The sequence below is a fragment of the Homo sapiens genome, chromosome 18 (assembly GCF_000001405.40).
Source record: "Homo sapiens chromosome 18, GRCh38.p14 Primary Assembly".
Lineage (NCBI taxonomy): Eukaryota > Metazoa > Chordata > Mammalia > Primates > Hominidae > Homo > Homo sapiens.
This window is the reverse complement of record NC_000018.10, coordinates 54524890-54535420: the sequence shown is the minus strand read 5'-3', so window position 1 is coordinate 54535420 and position 10531 is coordinate 54524890. Positions and strand designations below refer to the sequence as shown.

The 10531-nt window shown below is 38.8% G+C and overlaps 1 pseudogene, besides 7 other annotated features; it reads right to left on the bottom strand.

Moving 5' to 3' along the window:
- DYNAPP1 (DYNAP pseudogene 1) lies at positions 697-9951 on the bottom strand (annotated as a pseudogene).
- Positions 4429-5053: an enhancer, noted in NCBI's record as "H3K27ac hESC enhancer chr18:52056738-52057362 (GRCh37/hg19 assembly coordinates)". NCBI's record gives its function as "activates a minimal SCP1, AML or CMV promoter by ChIP-STARR-seq in naive H9 embryonic stem cells {active_cell/tissue: H9 hESC(naive)}" and the evidence as "EXISTENCE:reporter gene assay evidence [ECO:0000049][PMID:30033119]".
- Positions 5054-5676: an enhancer, noted in NCBI's record as "OCT4-NANOG-H3K27ac hESC enhancer chr18:52056115-52056737 (GRCh37/hg19 assembly coordinates)". NCBI's record gives its function as "activates a minimal SCP1, AML or CMV promoter by ChIP-STARR-seq in naive H9 embryonic stem cells {active_cell/tissue: H9 hESC(naive)}" and the evidence as "EXISTENCE:reporter gene assay evidence [ECO:0000049][PMID:30033119]".
- Positions 5054-6924: a biological region, named in NCBI's record as "hESC enhancers GRCh37_chr18:52054867-52055490, GRCh37_chr18:52055491-52056114 and GRCh37_chr18:52056115-52056737".
- Positions 5668-5962: a silencer, noted in NCBI's record as "tiled region #677; HepG2 Repressive non-DNase unmatched - State 24:Quies". NCBI's record gives its function as "represses a minimal TATA promoter and a strong SV40 promoter by Sharpr-MPRA in HepG2 cells {active_cell/tissue: HepG2}" and the evidence as "EXISTENCE:reporter gene assay evidence [ECO:0000049][PMID:27701403]".
- Positions 5677-6300: an enhancer, noted in NCBI's record as "OCT4-NANOG-H3K27ac hESC enhancer chr18:52055491-52056114 (GRCh37/hg19 assembly coordinates)". NCBI's record gives its function as "activates a minimal SCP1, AML or CMV promoter by ChIP-STARR-seq in naive H9 embryonic stem cells {active_cell/tissue: H9 hESC(naive)}" and the evidence as "EXISTENCE:reporter gene assay evidence [ECO:0000049][PMID:30033119]".
- Positions 6088-6382: a silencer, noted in NCBI's record as "tiled region #8549; K562 Repressive non-DNase unmatched - State 24:Quies". NCBI's record gives its function as "represses a minimal TATA promoter and a strong SV40 promoter by Sharpr-MPRA in K562 cells {active_cell/tissue: K562}" and the evidence as "EXISTENCE:reporter gene assay evidence [ECO:0000049][PMID:27701403]".
- Positions 6301-6924: an enhancer, noted in NCBI's record as "OCT4-NANOG-H3K27ac hESC enhancer chr18:52054867-52055490 (GRCh37/hg19 assembly coordinates)". NCBI's record gives its function as "activates a minimal SCP1, AML or CMV promoter by ChIP-STARR-seq in naive H9 embryonic stem cells {active_cell/tissue: H9 hESC(naive)}" and the evidence as "EXISTENCE:reporter gene assay evidence [ECO:0000049][PMID:30033119]".

Below are 10531 nucleotides of genomic sequence, written 5' to 3'. Positions count from 1 at the left end.
GTGCCTGCATTTGTAGTGGCATCCTTTTCAGTTGCAGTGCTGGCTGTTGTTGTGGCTGTGGAGTCAGTAGAGGTTGTGGTGGTGGCTGTTGTGGCTGTTATCTCAGTGGAAGTGCCAGCAGTTGTGGTGGCAGACTGTTCAGTTGCAGTGCTGACTGGTGTGGTTGTGGATTCAGTAGACGTGGTAGTGGTGGCTGTTGTGGTTGTAGTCTCAGTGGAAGTGCCTACAGTTGTGGTGGCAGACTGTTCAGTTGCACTACTGGCTGTTGTTGTGGTTGTGGGTTCAGTAGAGGTGGCAGTGGTGGCTGTTGTGATTGTAGACTCGGTGGAAGTGCCTGCAGTTGTTGTGGTGGACTGTTCAGTTGCATTGCTCATTGTTGTTGCGGATGTGTATTCAGTGGAAGTGTTAGTGGTGGCTGTTTTGGTTGTAGCTTCTGTGGAAATTCCTGCTGTTGCTGTGGCTGTGGCTTCAGCTGAAGTGGTGGCTGGTGATATTGTAGTTGCAGCTGAAGTATTATTGGAGGTCATTGTGCTGGTAGGTTCTATAGAAGTGCTTGCAGTGGTTCTTATAATAGTAGGTTTAGGTGAAGTGGATTTTGTGGTAGAATTTATTATAGTAGTGGCAACAGTAGGTTGAGAAACTATAGATGAGGTTATTCCAGTGGCAGATGAGGGTGTTCCATGGCTTTGGGGAAATTGGATAACAATGGAGGCATTATTATTTTTCCCATTATATACCAGGGATACTATGAGTACTCCAATTGCTGTCGTTATCACACAGGCTAAGAGACAAGCCAGAAAGGTTTTCCATAGAGACCAGTCACAGAAGAAATTCCGTGTCACCTGGAACGGATTTAAATAAAATTACTAAGGATGAAAATAAATATTTTATGAAAAATTAATGCCATTGTTCATCCTTTTTATACGTTTTCTTCTAGTAGCATTATAGTTTCAAGTCTTACACTTGAGTGTTTTGCCATTTTGTGTTGATATTGGTATATGATGAGTGATCAGAGTCCAATTTCCCTCTTCTCCAGGTGGATATTTAGTTTTCCCAACACCATTTTTGAAAAGACTGTTCTTCATTGTGTGTTCTTCACATCTTTGTTGAAAAACCAATCGATCATTAATGTGTGGATTTATTTCTGGACTCTGTCCTCTTCAATTGGTCTGGTTTTTTAGTGCCAATACCATCCTGTTTTGATTACTACAGCTTTGTAGTAGATTTTGAAATAGATTACTTCATTGAAACAATGTATAAATGAAACCAACTTTGCAAAAATTATAACAGTGAGAAAATTATGATGGTGAAAGATATCTGATCTAATCAACCCTCATCTTGACTTTAATCTCCAAACTGTCCTTACTTGTTCCTAGGCATAATAGCCCTTCCCCAAAACTAAACTGCCTTTGTAAAGCTAATGAAAGACCACCAGGTTAGGAGGATGAGAGGAGCCTGAATTCTGATCAGGTGTAGACATAAATGATTACCTATCATTATTCTGGAGATCACAAGATTTACAACTTCCCCAATTACTCCTGCAGATTCCTTCACTATTGTAGCACCTAACATTGGTCTTTTGAGATTCCTTTTCAGGTTTTTGCATTTCTGATGACTGGTGGCCCCAACTCGTCCTGTGGCCCCACCCAGAATCAACTTCAGTGGCCATGAGGACTATTTCCCACACTCCTATGATTCCATCCCCAACCAGTCAGTAGCACCCATTCCCTAGCCACCTCTCCTTCTCCCAAACTATGTTTGAAAAACTCTAGCCTCCAAATCTGGGGGGAGGCGGATATGAGTAATAATAAAACTCTGGCCTCCCATTTAGCCAGCTCTAAGTGTGTAAAACTCTTTATTGCAATCCCCCTGTCTTGACAAATTTGTTCTATCTAAGCAGTGGGCAAGAAGAACCCATTGAGCATAAAACAGGAAGATAAAAACTATTTTAAATAACAAACGCTGGGCCCAAATTTTAGCTTTTATTAGGAAAAGCCTTGTACTTTTGTTTCCTTAATGTTCAAAGAAATTTCCGCTGATCTCTCATGCTTTCTCATTCACATGAATATATCTTTCCAAATTAAAAAATAATAAATATCTTCTTAGAAACTCTTTATACCTCCCAGGGTACATAAACCATCTAAGTCAAGGTTGAAAACATATGAGATCAGAGCCAGGAGGGCTACAGGAAGGCCCACAGTTAGATTCAGAGGCATGCAGGAAGGCAGAGTGAGACAGATCATCCACAGATTAGGGCCTGGACCTCAACACATGACGTCATCTTCCACCTGAGCAAGGTTTACAGACAATGTCATTCACTGCCAATGTATTTGTTATGTTGCTACCTATTCAGTACTTCAAAAATAAAAGCCTCTAATTTTTGTTTTCTTTGGCCCTCTCTAAACTCCTTATATGTTTTTGTCTTTCTATTAAGATCATTAACTCCTTAAGCAAACAAACAGCCCCATAAATCTTCTACCTCTCCTATATTCCCTCTCAGTGACTTCACATTTTCAAAGGATTTCTCAAAAGAAAAATGTTAATGTTAATTGACCGAATGTTCTTCCTCCAAATATTGGATCAAGAGTATTTTCATGTGGATTATATCTTAATCCAGAAAACATTGTTGTCCCAAGTATTACCTGATAATGTTGGAATTCTCTGTTTGGAAATTCTGAGTGTTCAAGGGTCGCTGGGCTGGTGCAGGCACCAATTAAATTAGTACCAACATCACCAGTTATTTCAGTTGATGTAGAGAATTGACATGCTGAATTGTGAGCTTCATGGTTTCTTGGACTCAGGAAAGGCTATAGGCAGAAAAGAATGGGAAAAAATGTAAAACATTTACTACCTATTCAGATGTCTGGCTCCAGGCCAAAATTCTATGTGTGACCTTTCTGATGTAACCATAGGCCACTGCAAAGGCTTCACCTGGAAAGCCTCAAAGAGGAAAGGGCCCTCCCTGAAGATTTGGTGCAGCTGTGCATTGCAGTATCTGGAGGAAGCTGCAGTCAGGAAGCTGCATTGCATTTGTGCACTGCAGTCTATGAAGGAACCTGCAGTCAGGAATTCAGCCTTCCCTTCCCCCATGCCACCCTGGGCAATCATGCTGTTGAGCATATCTTCATTCCTTGCCTAGGAACTTCCATCTGGAGCCTTCCTTGTTTGGTGAGGGGTTAGAAACAAGGGTTGCCTCAGGGGAGATACTGTTCAAGCACTTGTGTGGACATCTCCTTAACAGGGGCCTTGAAGACAATTTTCTCCACCCTGACTCAGTACTCAGTTCTTTCCCACTTCTAGGCCTTCTTCCTCTTTCTCTATCTCCCAGTCCATAAAATGGCAGAAGCCCTTTGTTCAGTGGTCCCTTGGCAATTGGGTCATCCTGGTCTATGCTGATCCATTTAACTCTTGCCCAGTGCTGTTATGTGGAGAAAAAAAAAAATGGAACATTATGGTGGCTGACACCATATCTCTTCGACCTCTTGCTTATACTATTGCAATAAGTGAATAAGGGCTTAGTCATTACTTTTAATTTGGCTCAAAGTCCTAATTGAACACCTGGACAGCTAGCATCTCTCAGCACCTATCATATGACATAGTCACTGTGTTCCTGCCTGTACATCCAAGAGCTGTGAAAGTATATGTGCTCCATAAGCCATGGACAAGGAATTTTGTAATGCCTAACCTTATTTTACTAACCCAGTTTTTAGACTCTCCTTTTTTCTCCCTTAATCACCTAGCCTTGTTTCCACATGAATAGACTCTCCCTTAGCTGAGAAAGCCCGAGGAACTCCACCTGGCTCCCTTGATTTACAAGACATTAAGGACTCCCTACCCACCCCTTTTCCTCAAGGAGTTAACTTGTGTAAGCAGATTCTCAACATATCAAAAGAGTCCAATTAACTGATAAGGTACTAAAACAAGCAATGTACGAAGTTCCCAGGATTTTGCTCAAAAGATAACACCATAAAGCCTTGAGTTTGTGTCCGGCATAGCACCCATATCTAACATCTTATGAAGGATTTAGAGCCCCCGCACCTGGTACTGTTGCTTCTCTGTAACCATTTGTCTTTTAAATTGTTTGTTTCTCTGTAGCCATTTGTCCTTTTTAATTTTTTTGCATGTTTTACCTCTGTAGAATTATTGCATCTGAACCCCCCTCCCCTACCTAAACCAAAGAATAAAAGAAAATCAAGCCCCTTCCTCATGGCCGAGAGAATTTTGAGCGTTAGCTGCCTCTCGGTCGCCGGCTAAATAAAGGACTCTCAATTTCTTCTCAAAGTGTGGCGTTTCTCTAACTCGCTTGGGTGCAACAAGTTCACAGAAGCTTGATCCATAACATCAAAAAATGAAAACAACTCAACCGTTCATCAACAGGAAAATGGATAAATAAATTATGGTTTGTTTATGCAAATGAAATATTTTACAGTTATAAAGAAGAAACCAGTGATACAGATATGGTGTTGAGCAACATAAGCCACACACATAAGAGTACTGTACAACTCCATTTATGCAGAATTCAGGAAAACACAAAACTAAGATGCGGCAACAGAAGTAAGAGTGGTTACCTCTGAAAGGATGGGGTACTGATTGGCAGCAGCATAGGGGGTCTTCTTGGATGTTGCAAATGTTCTGTATTTAGATCTAGGGGATGTCACAGGTGATCAGTGACTATCTGGGCCAGTGGCATGGGTGGTAAAAATAATTTATCAAAACACTTGTAGGTAAAGAAAAGTAGATTTATCAGAGAAAGTTGCAAAATAAGTTGCAAGGAAACAGTGGGCAAGTTAGCAAGAGAGGAGCTGATGGCAAGGAGATAAAGGCTTGCTGGGGATTTTGTAGGATGGTGCCTGCGCTGTGTGCTGAAGAGGGATTTATGCAGTATTGATAATGCCAAGATTGCAGTGAGCTAACTTGCAGGTGTCTGGTGATCGGTTGGGCACAGGAAGATTGTAAGTTATTTGCACAGGACAGCTGTGTGTCCTGGACCATGAAGAATGGCAGACTTATAGCTTATCTGCTTTTGGTTTTTGCTTTCCCTTGGTTCCACCAGCCTGACTCCTTTTCCCTAATTAAGACTCTACAGGGGATGGTTACACAGGTATGTGTTTGATGTATATATGCACATATATATGTGTAAAAATTCATTAACCTGTTCACTTAAATATGTTTACTTTATGTATAATTTACATAAAGTATACTGTACCTTAATTTTTAAAAATTGAAAATAATGAGTATACTAAGCTACAACATGAATGAACCTTAATATATGAAAATTTTTGAAAATCATGTAGGACATTGGAGAATCCCAAAATGGAATGCAGAGTAGGATGAAGCAACCTGACTATATTACAAATGTAAGAATCAACAATTTCACTGAAGTGGATGGAGTAAAAAGGTGCTGACTAAAGGAACTTTGGGAACAAGTGGAGTCTGTCACACTAAAAGCAAAAAACTGGACGCAGCATTGAATCATAGTTGATGAAGTTGTTACCTACAGGGTAACAGTTCCATACATGCATTCTGGAATGAAATAATTAAGCAAACGGATGGAGGATGGCAGTGTGGGAGCCAGGTTTCTCCGTGTTAGAGTAGAAGTTTACGGATAAGCAAGATAAGAAAGTATAAACCAAAAGTAAAATTCTAAGCTGCCCAACCAAATGAACAGACTCACCTCTTGGCCAGGGGACCCAAAGAACCCTGAAAAACTACTTCAAGCCACAAAAGGAAGGGCAGGTCAGACATACTTCATTGTTCCCTCCTCCCTTTGGAATTTAGGCACAACTGACCAGCATTAACATTAAAATAGAGATCATAGACTAACAAAACAGACTCTTTGTAGCAATGAGATACCCAGCTCCAACCTGACCTTGGTTTAGCATCACATGACAGCAGGCACTGATGGAAATACAAGAATTTTACCCCAAAATATATTTCTTTGACATATTTTGAAATGGCCCTGCAAAGCCATCTCTTGTGGGGGAAATTTGTGCTCTGTAGAAAAATCCCCTTCCTTTTCCAGGTGTTTTCCTGATTCAGGAGAGATTTAACTGAGCCTGACAGCTTTTAAAGTCAGGTAAGAGTCATTTACCATCTATTCTCTCTAAAGCCTGCCACCTGGAAGCTTCATCTACATAAGAAGAATCTTGGCTCCCACAATCTTCCTTATCTTAACTCAAGCTTTCTTTCTGCTGATTTCCACTCTTTAGGCAAAGATCAACGCTTTCAACCAATTGCCAATCAGGAAACCTTTGAATCCACCTATGACCAGTGTGTCTACTGCTCCCCCATCCCACCCACTTTGAGATGCCCTGACTTTCCAGGCCAAAACAATGTATACCTTACATGTATTCATTTACATCTTTGCCTGTAACTTCTGATGCCAGAAAATGTATAAAACCAAAAGCTATAACACAACCACCTTGGGCACATGTTCTCTGGACTTCTTGAGGCCATGTCACAGGCCATGGTCACTCATATTTGGCTCATAAGAAACCTTTTCAAATATTTTAGAGTTTGGCTTTTTTCATCAGTGGAGGCTAGAATGATCCATGGATCATTACAGTTGGAGACTGGATGAATTATAGTTGGAGATATCAATATAAACTCATGTTTAGCTTAATAGCAACATTGATAGTTACATATAGAAATATTTATAGATATGTTTATATGCATGGGTTAGTACACTCACATATGTCTCCTTGCTTTGTCAGCTGAGAGGACCCAGAATCAACAAAATGCTAGTAGCAACAAGCACACCCAGCACCCAAATCTTGGTTTTTAAATACCATTTCCAATAAAAGGACCCAGGGATCCTTGGAGAAATGGCTGATTCTAGTGCTAGAGCAGGAAATATATAAGATGAGCCTGAATATCTTGTAGTATCAGAGAGTAAGAAAGTCTCCACTCCCTCCTTTAGAAAAACCCATGGCCGGGCGCAGTGGCTCATGCCTGTAATCCCAGCACTTTGGGAGGCTGAGGTGGGTGGATCACCTGAGGTCAGGAGTTCAAGATCAGCCTGGCTAACATGGTGAAATGCCATCCCTACTAAAAATATAAAAATTAGTCAGATGTGGTGGCGGACACCTGTAATCCCAGCTACTCCAGAGGCTGAGGAACGGGAATCACTTGAACATGGGATGCAGAGGTTGCAGTGAGCCGAGTTCGCGCCACTGCACTCCAGCCTGGGTGGCAGAGTGAGACTCTGTTTCCAAAAAAAAAGAAAAAGAAGACTCCATCTGTGTTTGGTACATGGGTGCCTACTTAAAATTTTTTTAAACTAAATGCATTAAAAATGTCGGTTCAAATGTGAAACATTTGGGGGGTTAGGTTTTTCTTAAAGGGTGGTTGAAAGAAAAAACAATCTCAGAAACAGTTTTAAGAAAAAGGAGAATAATCTGTGTTAGATATTCAAGGGACTGCAAATTGGTCCATGTAAATTTGTTACAATTGAAAAATATTATACAATTATCTAGAACTTTTTTTCTAATACAACAGTAAGAATATTATTTAAATATACTCTCCTGGCCAGGTGCAGTGGCTCACGCCTGTAATCCCAGCACTTTGGGAGGCTGAGGCAGGTGGATCGCCAGAGGTCAACAGTTTGAGAACAGCCTGGTCAACATGGTGAAACCCTGTCTCTACCCAAACTACAACAATTAGCTGGGTGTGGTGACATGCACCTGTAATCCTAGCTACTTGGGAGACTGAGGCAGAAGAATCTCTTAAACCTGGGAGGTGGAGGTTGCAGTGAGCTGAGATAGCACCATTGCACTCCAGCCTGGGCAACAAGAGTGAAACTCCATCTCAAAAAATAAAATATATAAAATATAAATAAATAAATAAAATAAATATACTCTCTTGACCTTCTTGATTAAATACCCCATCCTAAATGGATTTTTAAAAAACTACTGACAGATCAATTAATCTCTAAATTCTATTGAAACAATCAAACCATATGTGTATGCAGACACTACTCAGTGACAGACTATACATAAGAATAAAAGAGAGTTTAATTGTGATTAAATACAGTCAAGAAGGAATATATCTGGGTGTAAAGACTTAGCCAGAGTCTAATTTTTTTTACAGTACAATAGCAAGCCAGAACATTTTTTAGTAGCTATTCAGTGATATCGAATAAGATAAAATCTGATATACACAGGTACTTTAACAAAATTCCATCTGTTTTTCAATCAGAAACTTTGAGAAAAATAACAAAGATTTATCTTTTATAAAAGCTTCACTTATTCTTCAGCAATTTAGTATACTGAGGGTGATGAACTTAGATTTTGTTGTTGTTGAACTTATATAATTAAGTAAAACCTCACTTTCCAAACCAGCTTGCCTGAATTTCTTTTAAATTCTTTAAAGGAAAGGAGATAGTGGGTACCTGTACCAAGAATGAAGAACACACCCCAGTGGAGCTTTGGGGGTAATATAATTCGTGCTATCTCAGTTTCTCCTGTCAGTCTCTAAAGTTAAAAATTAAAGTTAAAAGTTGTCTCTAAAGTTAGAAATTGATCAGTTAGGGAGCTGTGAATTATACTTAATTAGCTTTTGGTAGCAGCCAATAATCTCCATCATGCATCTGATATGCATTAGCTATACTCACAGAGTAAAATTTTAAATTCCCTATTCACAGATTTAAAGAGATTAATTTACCAATTTTTGTTTCCTAAGAGAGAAAAACAAACTCCTACATTTTATTTTTATGTGGCCTTCAATTTCTATTCAATCCATTGACCAAAATGGCCCTTAATGAAAAAAAATTTTTTTCTATCACTATGTCCAAGTATACACATGTAAGTAAAATATTCAGTCAGTGTTAAAATATGTAACCTTTACTTGAAAACAGCATTGTTTAGGAAAACACTCAAGATGACTAACTGATTCCTTACTATTACCAAAGAAATCTTTTTATTTGAGTATGTTGACACTGTGAAGACACAGTGACAGATTTGCAGGGCTAGACAGACCATGAAGACCGTCTTCAGGGTAGAGGGGTCCTGATCCAGAATCAAGGGAAAAATTTATCTGCCTTATAACTTCCTTGTTAGTTCATGGAGAGAAAAATATTTTTCCTCACAAAACATAACTATCCATTCAAACTTACACTGATTTCATTCAGCACATTTCCATTTCTGTTTCCAATATCAAGGACTCTAGTTAGACATGAAGAGTTATATAAAATGCAATCATAAAACATACAGAGCTAAATTGTTTCTTCTAAAAACCTAAACAATAAACAAGGTTGTATGTAATTGAACTCTAAAATATTACCTAAATACAATTCTTTACCAAAAAAGAAATTCATAAGTACTTAAGTAGAGGCCAGTCTAAAGGATTTGCTAGATAATTTGCTTCCTAGGCCTCAACTTTACTTACAAGATTCACTTCTGACTCCCAAAGATATGTAGAAATATCTGGGTTCTGACAAATCTAGATATTACACTAACAATCTTGGCAGTTAACACAAAAATCTACACATCACATTTTAAAAGTTTAATTTGCTAATGCAATCAAACCCACATTTGTTGTCTTATGCTTAAATTATAATAACTGTAAAGTATTAAACATATCATTAAATTGTTACCCCCCAAAATTGCTGATGTCTTAGATCAGTGATTATTTAAAATAAGTTTCTCTGCTATGCATGTATTGACATGCAGAAAAAAATACAAGTTTTCTAATTAATAAGTTGTAATAGAGCAGCTAGAAATTGGCTTCCATGTAAAATTTTAAGAATTCCATTTTGGGAAAAACTATGTTATAATTTTTAAAAATTAGAGTTTCATAAATATTGAAAATAAGACTCTGGACTGTGAGAATATATCACAGTGGTGCCACCAATACTCACTGGCTGGTTTCCAGAGTGTTCAATGTTCACTATGTATTTCCCATGTTTTCTGTCCATTCTTGAACTGCAAATATCACAAGCTTAACTCCAGAAACGTTTTCCAGCCTCTTCATTGCCCTTTATACCTAAAATCTTGAGAAATAATTGAGTTGATTAATAGTAAATCAACTATGAGACATCAGTGCCAGTGTGGATTAGACTAAATAATAAATAATTATTCTTTACATGGGATCCACCCACCTTAACACCTGCGGTGTTAAGTAATCACGTAAAGGCACAAGAAAATCAATGCCACCTCTGTGACTACACTCTCAATACTCCTCCCCAAGCAGCCTGCTTAGTAGAAAGAAACTGCAGTCAGATACATTTCTTCCTTCTCTCCCCTGTCACATCACTTCTCAGGACTCTTCCTTCTGACCTCAAGAACAGCCCAAGACAGGAACAGAATTCTGGTATAAGTGAATGTTTCTGTTGCTTCTTTTCTAACCACATGTGATTGTCTTTTCCTCCAATAAGAGGAAAAAACTTTCAGAGGAAACAACTTTTAGAGGCTCACCACCCACTGCTCATCAAGTCTTGACCTTCCTGGGGACCTTTCCATGCTCTACAACTTTTCCAGTCTATTCTCTCTCTCCCTCTCTCTCTCTCTGCTTCTGAAAAAAATTAATATGACAT